General features: G+C 44.6%; 1 protein-coding gene across 5 annotated transcripts; it reads right to left on the reverse strand.

Moving 5' to 3' along the window:
* Positions 1-1,563: 1,563 nt before the first annotated feature.
* On the reverse strand, positions 1,564-18,624 carry ZP2 (zona pellucida glycoprotein 2). Of its 5 annotated transcripts, NM_003460.2 has the most exons (20): positions 18,341-18,624; positions 15,600-15,860; positions 15,421-15,509; positions 14,223-14,306; positions 13,745-13,839; positions 10,952-11,104; positions 9,845-9,889; positions 9,534-9,698; positions 8,422-8,518; positions 8,144-8,325; positions 7,239-7,365; positions 6,218-6,405; positions 6,046-6,137; positions 5,820-5,944; positions 5,483-5,672; positions 3,857-3,992; positions 3,684-3,780; positions 2,893-2,976; positions 1,880-1,963; positions 1,566-1,736 (listed from the first exon to the last, which is right to left on the reverse strand). In NM_003460.2, the coding sequence occupies exons 2-20, from the start codon at positions 15,659-15,661 to the stop codon at positions 1,594-1,596; spliced, it is 2,238 nt and encodes a 745-aa protein (NP_003451.1). In that variant the 5' UTR covers positions 15,662-15,860; positions 18,341-18,624; the 3' UTR covers positions 1,566-1,593. The 5 variants fall into 5 exon arrangements, 4 of the variants coding, with proteins under 4 accessions (NP_001363160.1, NP_001363161.1, NP_001363162.1 ...); NM_001376231.1 differs by lacking the exon at positions 18,341-18,624 and having other exon boundaries at positions 1,564-1,736; positions 5,820-5,917; positions 15,600-15,688; NM_001376232.1 differs by lacking the exon at positions 18,341-18,624 and having other exon boundaries at positions 1,564-1,736; positions 15,600-15,688.
* Positions 18,625-21,091: the final 2,467 nt, after the last annotated feature.

Here is a 21,091-nt window from a genome sequence, read left to right on the forward strand (position 1 = left end):
CTCTAGGGATTAGGATGTAATTCCTAGACATGGGTCGGGGGTAGGTGTCATTCAGGGTCAGGAAGTCATTTAAGTGGCCATTTTTAAAAATGCCATTAAAAAGCATGGTACGTGAGATTTAGTTATGATATACAATGCAACTTGATAAAGTCACACAGAATTTTGAATCTAAAACTATTTAGCAGAATGCCTTGGATCCTTAAAAGAAGGTCCAAAGAAGGCTTTTGATGAGACAATTTGAGCTTTTGACCCTATTACTCTAGAAATGCCAGACCCTCTACATAAGGTAGGTGTGGTTCTTTCCCTACATCAGAGTCTTATCTGTAAGACCTAACCAAAGGATTTAGAAAGCTACCTTTTAAGTCTGTGTGGCAGAATTCTAGAACAGGTGCCGGGCACGGTGTCTCATGCCTGTAATCCCAACACTTTGGGAGGCCGAGGCAGGCAGATGACCTGAGGTCAGGAGTTTGAGACAAGCCTGGCCAACATGGTGAAACACCATCTCTACTAAAAATACAAAAATTAGCTGGGCTTGGTGGCAGGTGCCTGCAATCCCAGCTACTGAGGAGGCTGAGGCAGGAGAGTCACTTGAACCCAGGAGGCGAAGGTTGCAATAAGCCGAGATTGCACCTATAGAAAACCACAAGATGACCAGATAGACATCACGATATTCAACCTCAAGGTTAGATTTTTGAAAAACCCAAGAGTATAATGACTGAGCTGACATTTAAATCCAGCCACTAGAAGCTTTCATCACTTATTCTTCCTGCCATACGTAGATTTGAAATATTTCCTTGCAAAAATTTTAGACTCAAGTTTTCTAGAATACAAGTGAATTTCCATATATCTTGAAGGTCTCTAAGAGCTGCAGTATAAAGCAGACACTAGTCATGTTGATGACATAATTACTTAGAATAAGACTGGCTACCCTCAGGACGAAGGCCTCAGGAGACGGTCAAGATCGAATGCAGGTAATGGAAAACTCACTCTAGGCTCAGTTGAATGGTGGAGTCTGATTCTTGGAATGTTATAACTGAGCCTTAGGACTCTGGCACTTTAGTATTCCTTTCCCTACCAAAGAAAGATTGCTTGTCTTTAGTTATAAGTGGGAAGGTAACTAAGTCCTTTTAAGCTCAGGAAAGTTGTAAGCTTGAGTGTAACTTGAGTTAGGAATTACCTTGAAGTAAGTTCTTATATTACTTTCTTAGGAACATCTGGTTTCCCTTCCCTTAAAAGAAGGGGGGTTGGATTTATGCCAGTGATCATGGGTAGCTTGCTGGCTTCTTATCCTGTGTAAGAGCTTGTAGACTCAAGTGTACCCCCAGAGCTGGGCTATAGCTAAAGCCCTACTGTTGACTGGGAGTGTCAGAGGACTCATGTATTGGGGTTAGAGGATCAGAAGGGGCCAAATGACAGGAAACAATTATACCATGAACTTCCCTATTTGTATCTATATACAAATCCTGCCCAGAGGATTGTGGCTAGGTACTGCCTCTACACTGAGGAACAAAAGAAATGATCCCTTGTCATCTAATCTTAATAAGAATGTGGAAGGCAAGAGGCTTATTTTGACTGCTTTATTTAGAAGCCCATTTAGTGATTTGACACAGTCCTTTTCTCGTACAGGTAGTAGATGAAGCCTAGAGTTGCCACCACACCTGCAAAGGCAGCCACAGCAGCCACAGCTTTGGAACCAACATCTCCAGCAGTCTTGTGCCCTTTGGTGTCCATAGCACCTACAAAGGAAGCAGACATTTGAGTCTTAAGTATTTTTAAATAAGGGTAAGTGGAAGCCTTACATAAGGCTCCCCAGAGAAGGGGGTAAAACTAAGCCTTCAACAGGCTTATTTCAGAAGTTTGCAACATTGAATAAACTTACCTCGTGAGCCAACCTCCTCCCCTGTTTCACTCCTACTCTTCTCCCCACTGCTCCCACTTGCTTTTAGATCAGATGAGCCGACACCTGGGAAGAACCTGAGAGTTTAGTACAACATCTTCATGCTAGTCGATGTGGTTAGCTGTCCCCTGAGGGTGTGATCCCACAGGTTGTTCATTAAGGCTATCTCAGGTAAGGGTATGTGTTAACAGGCACAAACTAATACACACTTAAGTTTGGCCATAGCATGTTAAGATGCACATGCTCTGACCTAATCTTGCTAGAAACATATCTTAAATCTTTGACTACTATACAAGAAATTCAAGAGGATTTTTTTTTTTTTTTTTTGTGGCCGGGTGTGGTGGCTCACACCTGTAATCCCAGCACTTTGGGAGGCTGAGGCAGGCGGATCACTTGAGGTCAGGAGTTTGAGACCAGCCTGGCCAACATGGTAAAACCTTTTCTCTACTAAAAATAATAAAATTAGCTGGGCACAGTGGCAGGTGCCTGTAATCCCTGATACTCGGGAGGCTGAGGCAGGAGAATCACTTGAACCTGGGAGGCAGAGGTTGCAGTGAGCCAAGATCACACCATTGTACTCCAGCCTGGGTGACAAGAACAAAACTTTATCTCAAAAAGAAAAAAAGAAGGATTCTAGTATGGACTGAGGACAAAACTAGAAATAAACCTATAGATATCCATGAATGAGGATCATGACTAAGGTAGAGCCACGTGGAATCCTAAGGGTTCTTTGTACAGATATAAGGTAGATAAGACAGATTAGAGACCAAGTTCTAGATCAGTAGGTAGAAGCTATGATCCTACTTGTGTTGAAGTGATTTCTAGAAGGGTACACAGGAGACTTAATAGAAGCCTACTTCTGGGAAGAGACTTAGTCTTTTATTCTTCTATTGTTTAGACTCACCACGGGTACATAGTATATGTAAGCACTGACCGCTTGGCATAAAAAGCTAAGAACTTGAATCCAGGAAGTACTCCAGGCTTTAGGTCCATACCTCTGAATGAGGAGTCATCTGACAACAGGAGAATGGGTCCTGGGAGGCTGACTGTCATTTTCTCTGCTTCAGTGGCCCCTGTGGCTGGAGACAGATGATCAAGTTTGTGTTTGGCCTCTGGAATAGTGGTTCGAGAGGTGTGTCAATGGAATGCTTAGAAGTAGAAGCTCTCTGGAGTATTTTGTTCATGTGGTTTGTCTTGCCTTTGCAGGCGAGGTTATGCCCTTTACTGTAGAAGTGGGATGGATTCTTGGGGTTGGGTGTGGTGGCTCATGCCTATAATCCCAGCACTTTTGGGAGGCCGAGGTAGGTGGATCACCTGAGGTCAGGAGATTGAGACCAGCCTGGCCTGGCCAACATGGTGAAACCCTGTCTCTACTAAAGATATAAAAGTTAGCTGGGTATGTTGGGGGGGTTCCTATAATCCCAGCTACTTGGGAGGCTCAGGCAGGAGAATCATTTCCCTTGAACCCTGGAGGTGGAATGAGCCAAGATCACACCATCTTACTCCAGCCTGGGCAACAAGAGCAAAACTGTCTCAAAAAAAAAAAAAAAAAAAAAAAAAAGGATAGATTCTTAAAGAACTCATCGTCTATAGAACTAGACAAGAAACTGTTCATCTTAGACCTGTCACATGAGTAAGGTAGACTGGACCAAGTTTTGACTGGGCCAACAAGAGCTCTGGGCAGTAAATAAAGTATGAGTTATACCAGTCCTTAAGATCTTCTATTCTAAAAAGTTGATACTTGCTTTGAATTAGACTCACAGAAACAGGAATTTGAAGTTTTTACCTCGCCTGTGCCTAGAGGACACAGGGCAGGTCACAGAACACAGTGGGGAGTCAGGGGAGAGTCGATTACAGATTAAGGCACTGCAGTGGAAGTAGACCTGGAGACAGAAGAGAGTTACATGGAATCGATGCACTAACATTTAACCTGTCCCTGGTGACTTCTGAATCACTTACCAGGCTAGAGAGCACGTGGGCTTCTGATACAAAGGCAAAAGCCTTCATGTCAAACCTCTGATAGTGATCAGGATGGGTCACAGAGGAGCCGACTGGATGGAAGGTGGTCTGGTAGTTGTCCAGGTCATATGCACAGCTAGGAGGTATGCACCAGGGAGGGATGTCAGTCATATGCATCTTGGAGTCAAATTCAATGTCTGCCCAGATTTAGTCATACGTAATATCTTCAGAACTATTGCCATATTTACCTTCTACCAGCACCTTTGTTTTACTCAGCATTTCTTACCTGACCTATAATACCTATGAAATCATAAGTTGTATAGACTAGTTATATTTTAACTATTTTAGCAGTACCTGTTTGCCAACTACATGAGAAGTACAAATTATATCATTTCAGAAGACACTGGTTTCTTGGCCAGGTGCAGTAGCTCACACCTGTAATCCCAGAACTGTGGGAGGCTGAGGTGGGCAGATCACCTGAGGTCAGGAGTCTAAGACCAGCCTGGCCAACATGGTGAAACCCCGTTTCTACTAAAGATATAAAAATTAGCTGGGCATGGTGGCAGGCACCTGTAGTCCCAGCTACTTGGGAGGCTAAGGCAGGTGAATCGCTTGAATCTGGGAGGCGGAGGTTGCAGTGAGCTGAGATTGTGCCATTGCACTCCAGCCTGGGGGACAAGAGTGAGACCTCGTCTCAAAAACAAAACAGAAGGCTTAGTAACTGAGCTACCACAGCTTCAAGAAAGCAAAGGTGCAGTTTTAGCCAAGTACACACTATTCCATAAGAATGGGTGAGATCCAGTTGTAGGACAGGACACGGCAGGAGAGCTGTAAGGTTGAACACCTATGTGTACAAGTGTGTGGCTGCAACCTCAGAGCATCAGTGCTCAGATTCTAGAGTCAGATGGATATTCTAATACAAGCTCCATTGTTTAAGTATTGTTTTGGGCTGGTTATTTAGGCAGCAAGCTGGGGTTTCTTCATGAAAGACGAAGACTAGTACAACTAGTGGATGTGGAATACATAGCACTGTGCCTGGCATATGGTAGGTGTTCAGATGGATAGAGGCTAGAGACCAGTCTTTCCAGATGATCAACACCATAGTAGAGTCAGACTTTCTGGGGCTTTGGAACTCATTCCTTAAGATTCAAGAGGTGATTGGAAGGCAGCATGTGGCCAAGTGTGGTGGTTCACACCTGTAATCCCAGTACTTTGGGAGGCCAAGGTAGGTGGATCACCTGAAGTCAGGAGTTCGAGACCAGCCTGGCCAACATGGCAAAACCCTGTCTCTACTAAGATAGCAAAAATTAGCTGGGCTTGGTGGTGTGCCCCTGTAATCTCAGCTACCCAGGAGGCTGAGGTAGGAGAATTGCTTGAACCCAGGAGGCAGGGGCTACAGTGAGCTAAGATCATGCCGCAGCACCCCAACCTGGGTGACAGAATGAGACCCCATCTCAAAACAAAAAAAAAAAAAACAGAAGGCAGAAGAGTCCCAATTAGAAAACAAGGACTAAATCTGGATCTCACATGACTGAATGCTGCTCTAAAGCCCAAGAGGGTTTATTCCCATTACTGGCAAGTTTTGATGGATTAGCTGGGTAACCTGATAGTACAGGGAGTACCTACCCATCCACGACAACGTTCCACTGGGGGAAAGAGTCTGGATCCATGGTGGACGTCGCCCAGCAGTCATCTAAGACCAGCTTGATGTTGGGGTCATCCCTGTTTAGGACTCTCACTTCCATGTAAATTGGTTGGCGGAGGAATCTCACTAGAGGGTACTCGTTTTCCCCATAAGGTTGTTGGTAGGAATTATCTGAAATTGAATGGTATTCAAGTAGTTAATGGCTGCAACACAGATTCATAGGTCATCACTGCTCCATTAGTCTGGCAGTATCAGGATGTTCATTTTAGGGAGAAGTTTGAGATCATTTAAGCAATTTCACAGACTGCAATCTCTTACCTGGGTAGCTTTGCAGGATCAAGGTAAATGGACCCAACTTCACTGAGGCCACTGGAGGAGTAAGGCTTTCAACGTTGATGTTTAGTAGCATGTCATTCCTGCTATAAGAACACTTCACTGTCATTCTGTAAGAGTTTGGAGGGAAGGTAGGTACAGAAAATTTCAGGTTAAAAAATTGCTTGAGTTTAAACTAGAGCTTAAGAGTCAAATAGCAATTTTATCTCACCTGAACTCACTGTCTCTAGATATTTTGCTTGGAGGAAAATCCGTCCAGAGAGCATGTATTTCGTTTTCATAGACGACTTTATCATCTTCGAACTTAAATGTCAGAGAAAGTGGGTTAGCAGCCAGTTATGTCAAAGATGAGACTTAACCTCGTGCCATCTGCCAGTACTAACCTTATATCTCGTTCCACATCCATTCAGGGGTATGTGGAACCGTACCAGCCCCTGAGACTGAGCCTCAAAGACAGGCTGGCAGGATGAGTTTCCCACCCTCAGAGTACCCAGGTCAAGAGCTGGTTGTGTTTGGTAGCTGTAGACCTCGACGTCCATAAACCCATCCTGGGTGCACAGCTCCCCTGTAACTAGACAGCGGTGAAAGTTTAGAGAAAATAAGTTTGTCTGCCCTGTGATACTGTCATCTCCCAACCTGATATGCTACGAGGGAGAAATTCTAATTTAGCAGGAGGCATCAGAATCTGTCTTGAAGTCTTTATGAGGGAACCTTGATCAGCAGCTTGAATTACAAAGGGAGCTGAAGTTAGTTGATTGTTCTATGTGAGAGTAGGACTTTTCATCCAAAGGAGGGACCAGTAGATGTAGGAAGAAGTGCTATATGGTATAAGACCAGTGAGAATCCTGATGAAGGGCAGGAGTTGACTCAAGGTTAAACTTAATGTGGCTTTAAGTACAGCGCCTATGTTATTGTATCCTTTCTTTGTATACTCACAAATCCTGAGTAGTTTGGGGAGAAACTGAGGCAGGAGCTGGTTTTCCTATTTGATCTGACCTGTGCAGATCACATTAAACAGAAGCACATGGTGGAGGCAATGCTAAACAAGAGATATTCACTCTATTTAAGAATTTGTAGGAATTTTGGGGTGGGGGGGTACTTAAACTTAATTCTAATTAGAAGTTTGAATATTCTTACCTAGATGTCAGGTTCAGGCTCCTAAGCCAAAATATCTAGATTGTTTAACCATGGAGCAGTTGCCATAAAACCTACCTATGTAGGGATCTTAAAAATATCATACTTAGGACCCCATCGTAGCAGCTACACTGTTTCTAATCTGACTAGTCTTTAGTTTCTTCAGTCTATAAGCAATAGATCAGAATCTGACCTTCTATACATTTGCCCACATGTACAAGAGCCAAGGGAGAAAAAAGGTAGAACATGATTTTAATAAAAGGTCTTTACCTATAGAAACGGGTGACTCACAGAGACACTCAGGATAGATCACCATGGATACTGTCTCTGGCCGAAGGAGAAAGGTCAGCTTGAGTGAAGCTAAGTAGAACTGATGGAGTAGGCATTTTTCAGATAACTGAAATGAGAAAATGTCAATTAGCAGCCACAGTCCGTTGGGGCCCGGAACCGTCACAGGGAGGCAGGAAGCAAGTCCACTAAATACTTGCAGGACACACTCCAGACTTATCTGGGCTCCCTTTAAACCAAAACAAGAGAGACCCTATCACTTCCTCAGATCTGGATGTATCCCCAGGCAGATTTATTGCTTTAAACTCATGCCCTGGAGTACCCAGCACTGTACTCTTTGTACGAGGCACTAAAGCTTGAATTAGCAGATCAAATTCCAAAGAATAGTGGAATCCTCTGCCAAGCCAGGTCTGAGTCAAAAGGACTCTACAGATGTTATAAAATGGTATTGCATAATATGTACCCCCAACCTAAGATTATTCTCTGGTATCCCTGGCAGTTCTAGTGAAGACTAACCTCAACAGCAACAGTACGGGACCCTTTTGTTTAGATCAAGGTGTCCTGTTCGTTGACCAGGACAGATTCATCATTAGGTATTTGACAAGTAGTTGCTACTACTCAGTTGGGGCCTTAGACAGTTTTAAGACTTAGAAAGACTTAGACGATTTTTCATGACAGAAGTTAAAGAGGTTTTGTGTTAGAGAATGAACTTTAGTTACTTGATATTTCACTTATACAAGATGATCAAATGAGGCCTTTTGGAGTTTGAATCTGTTATGTTGGCAATTAGAGCTCACGGGCAAGTTATCAGCCGTATGAGGACTACCCACAAGAGTATACTTCAAGTCAGGACCCGGTGGAGTTCAGTGGTTGACAATTGAACATACTTTCGTTTTGAGCAGAGTTTTGCTGAAATGCAATTTCATGCCATTTGTTGCTTCTAGATCAATTCCATTGTCATGCAGCTGGCTCACATCAATGTTCTGGTTTTCAAAGCTCACAGACTTAAGCTTCCCAGGAAACTCTGGTATGGTGAGAGTCATGTGTGTGGCATTGCAGGTCACAGGATCTAGAAGGAATGACAACAGAATGCCCATTACCAGCCTTGATTAAGCTTCTAGGACAATGTCTCCCACACTGAGGTTGCAGCTATCTGGGACCTTACCTGGTGCACAAATAGCTTGTGAAGAGAAGATCACCTTCTGTCCAGGAGATATAAATGTAAGCTTCAGAGACACCATGTAGAGATGACTGTTACCTTGCTAGGGGGAGAAATAACAGTGATCTTCAAAAACATTGGTTACTTGAATCTCTAACCAGTAAGAATCATCTTGGCAAGTATATATCCAAGTAATGGGCACTACTTTGACACAAGTAGGATTTAAGCATTTGTCTAATGACTAATTTGTCTAATCTGGAGGTATATTAGTTTTAACCTTGTTCTAACATCTGGAAGAATGTTGTCTAGATCACCTGTAGCCAATGACTTCTAGGCAGATAAGATCTGTCCTTACCCCATATGACTATTTTAAAGTATCAGCAGCCAGACAATGTTTTCAAGCCTCAATCCATTTGTGTTCTTACTGGGAGATAGGACTGTTCTTGAAGTGGTTGGCATTTGAGCACTTACATCTCAGGACCTGTCCTAAGTACTTTAGGAGATTAATTCATTTAGTGCAGTGTTCAGACTATTGGCCTGGAAAGCACCAATACTTGCTATAAAACAATATAGGACAATGACAACCCAAACAGAACCCCTTAACCCATAAAGCTTTCAGGAATATGCTTGTTCTGTGTTGTACTATAGATTTAAGACTATGGGAAAGAGACTAGATTGAGGTAAGGATTATGTATTTTTGAGAAATGGTCTCGCTCTGTCGCCCAGGCTGGAGTGCAGTGGTACAATCTCGGCTCACTGCAACTTCTACCTCCTGGGTTCAAGCGATTCTCCCACCTCAGCCTCCTGAGTAGTTGGGATTATAGGCATGTACCATCTCACCCAGTTAAGTTTTTGTGTTTTTAGTAGAGACAGGGTTTCACTAAACAGACAGGGTTGGCCGGGCTGGTCTTGAACTCCTGACCTCAAGCGATCTGCCCGCTTCAGCCTTCCAAAGTGCTGGGATTACAGGTGTGAATACCCAGCGAAGTGTTTGGCACTTAATAGGCATTAAAATGGGTTGTATTATAAATTAATGTGAAGACATGGTTGAGATCATGCTTCAATTTAGGAATACTGGCCTGTGCTTTGGTGGTACAAAGCCAGACTTCCACACCTACCACATAGTGAGTCACTCCAGTGGCATTGAATGGCACATGGAAGGTCATCCTGTGGTTGTCAATCAAGAGGCTGAAGCCTTCCTTCATGGCCTCTGGCAGGGTCAGAGTTTTGGCTCTTGCACCATCACCAACCTCAATGCTCCATCCCATCTGAACTTTGGTCCCCTGAAGTCAAAAAGCTTTGTTTAGAGGGCTGGTGCTCCCTTAACCAAGTCTCTGGTAGTCTAACAATTTATCAGGTTAAAGGTAATATCACCTTTAACATAGAATTAAAGGTTATTAAGGTCTGATTTTTAAAATTTGCTTCATACCTTACTGTCGTCAGCCAAGCCAGAGAAGACCCGTGGCAAGGAAAACTGGAAGAAAAGAATTGTGATGTAAGACTTTGATTTGGAGGTAGATGTTTCCGAATTCATGCCAGAAATTGCTGTGTGGTTGTCATACCAAAAGGCCTGCTGTGGGATGCAGTGGAAGAAGCACATGAACCCTGACTGTGCCCTTAGATGTCATTATACTTCTTTGAACTTCTGATCCCAAGAGGCAGCTGGAAGATCTAAGCTCCTTTCCAGTTGTAAGTTGGGACACATTTCTCCCCCCAAGATAGAGTTTCGCTCATCGCCCAGGCTGGAGTGCAATGGTGCAATCTCGGCTCCCTGCAACCTCCGTCTCCTGGGTTCAAGCGATTCTCCTGCCCCAGCCTCCCAAGTAGCTGGGATTACAGGAATGTACTACCATACCCGGCTAGTTTTTTGTATTTAGTAGAGATGGGTTTTCACCATGTTGGTCAGGCTGGTCTCAAACTCCTGACCTCAGGTGATCCACCTACCTCAGCCTCCCAAATTGCTGGGATTACAGGCATGAGCCACCATGCCTGACCAGGACAATGTTCTTAAACGTTTGCCCTTTCACCAATGTCCATAGAAATCAGGTACTATGTAAAAGCCATGCAGTTCTATCATTGTTATTGAGTTGCTTTTATGTCAGTGTTATTTTTAGTTGTCCATTGTTGACATTAGCCATGTTAGACTCTAAACCCATGAAGATGTGACTGGGTCGTTTTGTTCACTTATTGTATCTTAGCATCTAGGGTAGGGCCTGGAACATGGCATGTATTCCATTTGTCAGATGATTAGTGTGAGTGCAACTACCAATAAAACCCTATTGCCATGCATGATGTGCCAAGTACCATGTATATACCCTCAGTAAATTCTTAGAGCCACCCTGAGGTAAGCATTATTGTCCCATCACTTTGGACTTGGAAACAAAGCCTCAGGGTAAAGTTAAACCTCATCACACAGAAAATTAGCAAGTACAGGATTAAATCATGGTCTGATTTCTAAGCCCCGCCCTGGTTAGATCATCATCATATTCCCCCTGCAGTAGCCATATACCCCGAGCAGTCAGCCCGTTTCACTCACAGACATGAAATCCTTCTGGCAGATTGTAGATGCTGAAAGCCCCTGGGTCTCTTCTACTTGCATAGCTGGACAGAAGAACTGATACATGACAGCTCCGTGTCTTAAGGCAGCACTGTTGTTCATGACTCTGATGGTCATCTGGTGTCCACCATGCTGTGTACAGATAGCACAGTGGGAACAGAGTAAGTACTGTACCCCCATGGGATTCTAGAATACCATCTGACCCATCTGAGTGGGAAAACCCTTAAAGTTACTAATACCACAAGTGCTGGAAGGTACCTCATTCCCGTACCAGGAGACTAGCTAGCCCATTGTAATCTGTTAGTGAAGACTCATGCTGATAGGCCAGTTTTAGCATCAGGAAATGGAGTTCAGTTTCTATTTCTCTTATGTGTACCCTATGTCTCAGTACCATGGTCCTGGCTGAATGGGGTTGGTATGGGGCTTCTACCCAGGTTATCTGAATACTTGTTAAGCACCTAAGTAGCTGCCATTGTGCTGGGTAGAGCTACCCTTGCTATTACCCCTGACCTTAGGAAACTCAGTCTAAAAGCAGGGGTCAGCCAACCTTTTTCCATTATGCATTAGCAACTGTTTTAGACTCATGTGAGCCACATGAAATCCATAGCATATTTCCTTAAAAGAACTTTAAAAAGATAAAAGCCAGCTGGGCATGGTGGCTCATTGCCTGTAACTCCAGCACTTTGGGAGGCTGAGGCAGACTGACTGCTTGAGCTCAGGAGTTCAAGACCAGCCTGTGCAACATGGTGAGAGACTCCATCTCTATATATATATTAAACACACACACACACACACACACACACACACACACACACACACACACCACAAAAGTTAGCTGGGTGTGGTGGTATATGCCTGTGGTCTCAGCTACTGGGCAGGCTGAGGTGGTACTGAGACATAGGGTAGGGGATTGCTTGAGTCCGGGAGGTAGAGGTTGCAGTGAGCCGAGATTATGCCACTGCATGCCAGCCTGGACAACAGCAAGACCCTGTCTCAAGAAGATTAAGAAGATAAAACCCATTCTTAGTTTGAAAACCAAACCAAAACAAAAACAAACAAAAACACAAAAAAAACCCATGAACTAGGCACAGTGGTTCATGCCTATAATCCCAGTGCTTTGGAAGGCTGAGGTGGGAGGATCCCTTGAGGCCAGAAGTTTGAGGCCAGCCTGGACAACATGGTGAAATCCCCATTTTGACAAGACAAAGATTAGACAGGCATAGTGTTGCATGCCTGTAGCCCCAACTAGTTGGGAGGCTGAGACGGGAGAATCCCTTGAGCCCAGCAGTTCTAGGCTGCAGTGAGCCATGATTGCAGCCACTACTTTCCAGCCTGGGCTACAGAGCAAGCCTGCCTCAGAAAGAGACCATGGACTGCGTTTGGCCATCCACAGGTTATGGCTTGCAGACCCTTAGTCTAAGGGAATGCGACTCCAAGACCTCTAATGTTGAGAAGGTCTGTTTTAGAAGGAAATTATCAGGTTTTTCATGAAGGACCTATGATTACTTCATTGATTGATCACAGAGGGCTTTAGGGGACCAGATGACTTACAGTTCAAGCCTGTTTACAGAGTAGGGTCTAAGACTGTATCTGTACAAAGCTTAGACTGCTGACCACCTGCATCGTAATCAGATGGTATAGACTGTTAGATATGCAGATTCCCAGAACTCACCCCAGGCCTATGTCCAACTAGTCAAACCCAAACTTTCCAAATTACAACTTGCTAGCTTCTGCTTAGACAGGTTGCTTTTATTGCTCCTAATATTCCTGATTGGGCAATACTGTTGCTTGGCAATAGAAAAACCCTTACTGCTTAGCTGCTGTTTGCCTTTTAACACCTGTTTCTATAGGTCAGATTTCTATTTGCTAGCACCAAAATAGCCTTCCATCTCATGTTGGGGTTCACAGATCAAAATAGCTCGTGTTTCATCACTTGTTGTATCCAGGTTCTGCACCAGGTCTTAATCTGTAGAACATCATTAGTCTTCATTACCCCCATGGAGCAGGCACCATTACTCTCATCTTCTAATGGGCAAACAGGCTTGAAAGGGCTCACTTGGTGGAAATTACACCTGATTAGTGGTAGAGCCAGGGCTCAAGGGCTCAAGTACTTGAATGCCAGGGTTTCTCATCCTCAACACTGACATCTCAGTCCTGGTAATTCTGTGTTATGGGGAGGAGACTTGGGTAATGTTGGTTGTCTGCCAGCATCTTTGGCTTGTATCCATTAGATGCCAGTAGTAGCTCTTCTACCTTCAGTTGTGATAACCAAAGATGTTTCTAGATGTTGTCAAATGTCCCCTGGACAGATTCCCCCCACCCTCCTCCAGACAGTTTTGCTCTTGTTGCCCAGGCTGGAGGGCAATGGAGCAATCTCAGCTCACTGCAAACCTCTGTCCCCTGGGTTTAAGCGATTCTCCTGCCTCAGCCTCACAAGTAGCTGGGATTACAGGTGTGTGCTACCACACCCAGCTAGTTTTTTGTATTTTTAGTAGGGATGGGGTTTCACCATGTTGGCCAGGCTGGTCTCAAACTTCTGACCTCAGGTGATCCACCCGTCTCAGCCTCCTAAAGTGCAGAGATTATAGGCGTGAGCCATCACACCTGGCCTAGACAGATTATAATAGAAAAGAAGAGCCACACACGAGACACCACCCCCTTGGTTGAGAGCCACTGCTTTACTCCAAAGAGAAAGTTCTTAGCCAAGTTTACTGCCAGTAACTCTTAGGTTACTACGTACTTCCCCAAGAACTGCTCAAAGCAATGACTTACCACTCTCCTGGTACAGTTATCATAGGTAGCCCTCAGGGTGAGCTTTTCTGGGTCCAGGATGTAAGTGCAGTTCGGCATGTCGAGACCAAGAGGATCTGCCAAGGCCAGAGCAGGTTAGACAGGATGGCTGAGTACATTTCAGTGACAGTCCAAAGCTATAGAGTCAAGACCACCAGTCCATTTCTAAGGTACTTCAGTCCCTTCACTTCCGCCCCAACTCAGTGATAGAACTTGAGCTTTGAGATGGTATGACTTGCAGCCAGAGGCTTCCCAGAGATGCTGGCATAAGACACACTTTCGAAGACAGACAGGTCTTCCATGCTGGGTGGCTTCATGCAAATCAGGTATCCCCATGGCATCATGGGAGTTGGATGCCGTTGCTGCAGGAGTTTGGGTACTCTGCTCCCCAAACAGGATTGACCTAAGCCAAAGGCTGTCTGCTAATCAGGACTATGAGGAGATAACACACGTTACCTACCCACCACAGATGCATGCCATTTCTTGGTGCCAGGACTGCTTGGGAACTCCACTGTTATTTCCCTTTCATCGCAAGTGACAGTGCCTAAGGAGCAAAGGAAGCATTTGGGGGCTTTGAGTCATGAGTGATGCAACTCCTACAAAAGTGTATAGACTCCTCTCAGATGGGAGGGATTCCAGATGAGGGAGGCAAGAATCGTCCCCTACCCTGGGAGAGCTCACAAACAAGTGACCAAGACAACAATACAATATGCCAAGAACTGTAAGGAAAATATCAGGTACCCAGGGCTTTTGAAGTGTTCCAGTAAGAAGCCCAGGTTAGGGTTGACAAGCAGGTCTGTAGGAGCCAGGTCAACACCTTGACAGTGGAGCAGATGGAGGCAGGCCCGAAAAACTGACAAAAGCTTTGTCAACAGGTTTTGCAAATTGATGTTAAACAAAGTCCTGGGTAAGTCCCAGGACTTTTATTTATTTATTTATTTATTTTGAGACGGAGTCTCTCTGTCACCCAGGCTGGAGTGCAGTGGCACGATCTCAACCCACCTCAACCTCCGCCTCCCAGGTTCAAGCGATTCTCCTGCCTCAGCCTCCCAAGTAGCTGGGATTACATGTGCCCACCACCACACCCAGCTAGTTTTTGTATTTTTGGTAGAGATGGGGTTTCACCACATTGGCCAGGCTGGTCTCAAACTCCTGAGCTCAGGTGATCTGCCCGCCTTGGCTTCCCAAAGTTCTGGGATTACAGGCGTGAGCCCCGGCGCCTGGCTGCATTTTTTTTTTTTTTTTTAAAGATCAAGTTTTGCCCATCATCTGCTACTCTGCAGCCTCTGGCTCAGGTGAACGTCAAGTGAGCAGCTCCAGTTTTGCTTGTTATGTCGATGTTTTCCTTAAGCATGAGTTTGTGTTTGAAGATTGCTGCTCCTAAAGATGAGGGCTTAGTGTGGTGGTTTGCTGTTCTGTGGATACCATAAAGCTTGAGGCAGTGAGGGATTGGAAGGCAGTGCAAGTGTTTGAGTTTTCATTTAGCAGGTATAGTGAGTCTACAGGTTAGCAGAAGAAAGATCCAGTAACCTGACCAAGGTAATAAAGGGGGTGAATGGAGGTTGTCTGAGCCAGGCCTGTGTTTCTTGGCCAGCTAGGCCTTCCAGCTGCAACCTGTTTTCTCTGCTAAGAAGACTTCTGTCACCCAAGAGACATACCTGGAAAGGCAGGATTTACCAACTGAGAAACATCTATGGAGTTCCCTGAAGTCACAAGGGCGAAGAAGAGAGAAATCGACCTGTAGGTGCTGGAAAGAGACAGGGAGATAGTCAAGGAAGAATGGACTTTAACAAACAAAGCTACCATACCCCCTCCCTCCACTTCCAGAATTACTCACCTCCAGCCTGCATTGAACCAGCCTGAGGGACTCCAAGAGCCTCCTCTCTGCCTGCACGCCATAGCAGAAGACACTACCAGATCAACCAGGTAGAGGGTAGGCTGCTCTGTGTTTTTATAGCAGGAAGCCAGCCGCATCCACACCCTCTCCCCATTGGGGGCACCTGAATCTTGTCCCATTCTCCCAGCTGAAACGGAAGGATTGGGGAAGGAAGTGGCCTCTGATTCCTGACAGCTTGCGCCGGGTATTCTGCCAGCTGCCCTGTGGGCCAGGCATGAAATCAGAGTTTGCTGAAATCAGCTCCAGGTGAGTGAATTGGTGTTTTCCCTATAACTATGGGGGAAATTAGGATCTTTTGGGCAAATTATTTACAACTGCAATGTAGAGCCAAAGAGAATCATGGGCTTTATTGAGAAAAAAACAAGTCTTGTTCACACCACTACATTTTTTTTTTTTTTTTGAGATTCAGTTTCACTCTGTCACCCAGGCTGGAGTGCACTGGTGCAATCTCGGCTCACTGCAACCTCTGCCTCCTGGGTTCAAGCAATTCTCCTGCCTCAGCCTCCTGAGTAGCTGGGATTACAGGTGCACGCCACCACACCTGGCTAATTTTTGTATTTTGAGTAAAGATTGGGTTTCACCGTGTTGGTCAGGGTGGTCTCGAACTCCTGACCTAGGTGATCCACGTGCCTCGGCCTCCCAAAGTGCTGGGATTACAGGCGTGAGCCATTGCACCTACCCTAAAACCTTTTAAGTAACATCTAGTCTTCTGGCTACTGCAGAAGTTACCCTGATAATGCACAGGAAGTGTCTTTAAAAAAATGAATGAAGCCTTGTTGACCCCCAAGTGTAAAAGCTTAAGCTTACCGCAAAGATACAATTTCAGAAGGATACAGAGAAAAGGCAAAAGTCACTCATAATAGTGCCACTGCTAATATTTAGGTGAGTAACTTTAGACATGTTTCTACAAACACCACACACAATTTTTTTAAAACACTGGGAGGAAAGTTTAAATACTGTTTTGTAATCTGCTACTGTCACTTTATAACTATTAAACATAAAGCTCTCTGTTACCATTTTAGGGTGGCATAATATTCAATTTGAGATAAATCTGTGTTTATATAATTTCCTTAATTATGAGCATAAGGTGGCTTGTAATTTTTCATCATTATAAGCAGTAACATGATGAGCATTCTGATACATATCCTTGGGTAACCCTCAAGATAAATTCCTCAAAGTAAAACTTCTGGGTAAAAGGGAGTAGTGATCTAATAAGAATGTTATATTGTTGTAAAGCACTTGGAAGTTTCCCAGTGGGGAAACTGAGGCAAGGCAACTTGCCCCAACAATGTCAGGGACCAGGTGGAGAACTCAGATTTCCTGAGGCCTGATGGTTGTGTTTTTTCAACATCTCTCACACTCTTTGAGATAACTAGATGTCTGCAGCCCATGTTCCAAAATAGGTGGATATAAGGCTTAGACTCCATTCAAGTGGTGGGTGACACTTGCAATTATTAGGCTGGTGCAAAAGTGATTGCAGTTTTTGCCGCTACTTTTATGTATGTATGTATGTATTTGAGATGGAGTCTTGCTCTGTTGCCCAGGTGGGAGTGCAGTGGCGCAATCTTGGCTCACTGCAACCTCTGCCTCCTGGATTCAAGCGATTCTCCTGCCTCAGCCTCCCGGGTAGCTGGGATTACAGGCGCCCACCACCAAGCCCAGCTAATTTTTGTATTTTTGGTAGAGACAGGGTTTCACCATGTTGGCCAGGCTGGTCTCGAACTCCTGGCCTCAAGTGATCCAACCGTGTCAGCCTCCCAAAGTGCTGGGATTACAGGCGTGAGCCACTGTGCCCGGCCCTTTGCCACTAATTTTAATGGCAAAAACTGCAATTATTTTTGCATCATCCTAAACTGTATTGATTCATGTGTTGCCTTTGAGGTGTAACCTGAGGCATCTGAAATAACATTGGAGATTAACTGTTTCCCTGACTTCCTTGATCAAAAGGATCACATGGAGCTCTCATTAATATCACAGATTCCAGGGTCCCACCCAAAAGCTGCTGAATTAGACTCTCCAGAAGATGTGCCTGGGAAATATTTACTTAACGAGCACCACAGGTGATTCTTATAATCAGGAAAACCTGGAAAATACTTGGAGGGAGCGAGGCGAGAAAATCTGTGGTGGCCAGTGGTTAACCTCCTTACGGGAATTGAGTAGATTACATCCCAGCGGAATTGGGAAGAAGGAGCAAAATACAGATAAGTTTTTGGGGATAGAGATGGTAAAAGGATTTCATTTTATAGCCAAAGCATGATAGCAATAGTTTCTCCTTCTATGCATATTTTTCTGAAAAGTGGCACCTTTTCTACAAATATAATTTATTGCCACAATGGTTAAGACTATGATAAGACATTAGAGGAAAAAGGAGCATAGACGTGAGACTCAGAGCCCTATTGAGAAGGTGGTCAGAGAAGTGATGGGTTAATGTGCTTATTCAGCCTCCCTCAGACCCCACCTCCCTTCCCACCGCGCTACTCACTCCCCTCGAGATGGTGTCTTTCTCCAGAGCGGGAAGTTTTTGCCTTGGAAAGGGCAGCTTTGGTCAGAGCCCCCAAATTTGGGGTTTCTAAAAGGTTAAGGGGCAGCACAGAGACCCCAAGCAGGAGATGTGGTGAGAAAGCCCGCTGTGGGCTGGTGAAGCTGGTATGTGCACCAGAGATTAATTTTGTTTGTCTCACCTAACCCAGACCTGTGGTGTGCTGGGGACAGCCACCGAACAAATGGCTCTGGGCCCAGGAGCATCCATGTCTAGGATTCTGCTCCGGAAAAGCAGGAAGCTACCATCTGTTCAGCAACTGACTTTGAACACAGGAAGAAATAGCTGCTCCGTAAAACAGTGTCTCCTATCAGGAGGTAGGAAAAACTAAAGTTATTACAAAAATGATTCTTAACATTCTGTTCTCACTTATAAGTGGGAGCTGAACAATGAGAACACATGGACACAGGGAGGGGAACATCACACACTGGGTCCTGGTGACAGGGGTTGGGGGGTGGGGGCAGGGAGAGCATCAAGATAAATAGCTAATGCATGCGGGGCTCAATACCTAGGTGATGGGTTGATAGGTGCAGCAAACCACCATGGCACACGTTTACCTATGTAACAAAGCTGCATGTCCTGTACATGTATCCTGGAAATTAAAATTAAATTTAAAAAAATATTGCGCTAAATAGGCCCGGTGCAGTGGCTCACGCCTGTAATCCCAGCACTTTGGGAGGCTGAGGCGGGTGGATCACCAGAGGTCAGGAGTTTGAGACCAGCCTAGCCAACATGGTGAAACCCTGTCTCTACCAAAAATATTAGCTGGGCATGGCGGCACACACCTGTAAATCCTGCTACTCGGGAGGCTGAGGCAGGAGAATCGCTTGAACCCAGGAGGCAGAGGTTGCAGTGAGCCAAGATTGTGCCACTGCACTCCAGCCTGGGCAACAAGAGTGAAACTCTGTCTCAAAAAAAAAAAAAAAAAAAAGGCAGTAAACAAACAGCAGACCTCGTTCAAATATATGTGTTCCACACTCTTTTCAATGAACCTCTTAAAGTTTGCTGATTTATTATTACAAGGTGTTCCTTCTCCTCTTCTCTGCCCTGGGTTCTATGTATCATGAAACCATTTCTCTCTTGCTAATCACAAGGCATTTCTTGACGGGGTTCTCATACATAAAAGAAAGACTATAGTTTTGTTGTTGCCTCATTTGGGCAGATGTCTTCCTTTCTGAAGTGTGGTTCTTATAAATGACAGTTTATAATTCTTAAATTCTGAATCTGCTGCCCTTGTTTTCCACAACAATTATAAAAGTATTTATAAAAGACAACCTAAATATCACCATCTAGAGATGGTTGGATAAACTATGGAATACTCTTCAGCTACTGCAAATGATTCTATGAGTTCGTTCAGATCTGTGAGTACTGACATGAAAGATGTCTGCAATAAAACTGGAATTTCAGGGCTATATATCTACTATGCTTTCATGTTTTGCTTTAATAGGAAAATGAAAAACCTGTCGACCTAAAGGAAGGAGAAGAGAATATAGTTTTAAAGAGTTTACTTGAGGCAAAGTGTGGACAGCTGCCCAGGAAACACTTCCAAGTTGCCTTGGTGAGTTCTCCACTTTTGTCACAAGTGGGTGTTTTTTTTGTTTTGTTTTTTGTTTTTTTTAGACAGAGTCTTGCTCTGTCGCCCAGACTGGAGTGCAGTCGCACGATCTCAGCTCACTGCAAGCTCCGCCTCCCAGGTTCACGCTATTCTCCTGCCTCAGCCTCCCGAGTAGCTGGGACTACAGGCGCCCACCACCACGCCCAGCTAATTTTTTGTATTTTTAGTAGAGATGGGGTTTCACCGTGTTAGCCAGGATGGTCTTGATCTCCTGAACTCATGATCCACCTGCCTCAGCCTCCCAAAGTGCTGGGATTACAGGCGCCCACCACCATTCCTGGCTAATTTTTTGTATTTTTAGTAGAGACGGGGTTTCACCATGTTAGCCAGAATGGTCTCCTAACCTCGTGATCCGCCCACCTTGGCCTCCCAAAGTGCTGGGATTAGTGGCTGATACAGTGTTTCTTGACTCATTGATTTACAGAAATAACACTGATTAGCTGGGTACAGTGGCTCACACCTGTAGTCACAGTGACTCAGGAGGCTGAGGTGGGAGGATAGCTTGAGCCCAGGACTTTTAAGGCAGTCTGGGCAGCATAGCAAGATCCCATCTCAAAAAAAAAAAAAAAACACTGATTAGTGATTGGCTATACATTGTTGAACTATAGGGTATGATTAATGGCGTCCAGCATATGGTATGAGTTATGATGTCCAGTGTATGGCATAGTTAGGTTAATTTTATGGCTACTTGGTGTCAGTCTAGAGCCCACATATCAAGTAGCTCCAAGAGATAATTACTGAGCCCGAGGGAGTGAGGTGTGACTGCTGTCACGTTTCAATGCCTCTCTGGGCCTGATAATTTAAAGGGACTTGCATTCTTCAGATAAAAAGTTTCTTTTCTTTCTCAAACTTATGTGTATATTTATACTTTATGTGTCTGCATGTGGGTCTATACATATGTATTTGGATTACAAGTCAAGAAAGTTGTCCCAGAGAATCGACAGCATCATCCAGGAAAGGAGAGGGTTGCCAGGGTCCGGGGAGTCCACGTGGCTGTGCTGGGCATTTGCGACCATTGTCTATTCTGACTTGTTCGTGCTTTTGCTGTATGGGTTTTAAATACATTGAATATCATCACCGGGAATAGGATTAAGGAGATGGGAGGGTTGGAGCACAGAAAACAATTCCCCAAATGTGCCTGGGCATGCCAAGTGCTTTGGAAAATTAAAAGGCTTCAGAAATAAGCCTCAGAATCAAGGTCTCTCTATCCTTGCCTTGTTCCCTTTCCACCCCCAAAGTACAGGAAGGAACTCTCTCTGGGGAAAAAAAAAAGAAAGC

Source organism: Homo sapiens, chromosome 16, assembly GCF_000001405.40.
Source record: "Homo sapiens chromosome 16, GRCh38.p14 Primary Assembly".
Taxonomy (NCBI): Eukaryota; Metazoa; Chordata; class Mammalia; order Primates; family Hominidae; genus Homo; species Homo sapiens.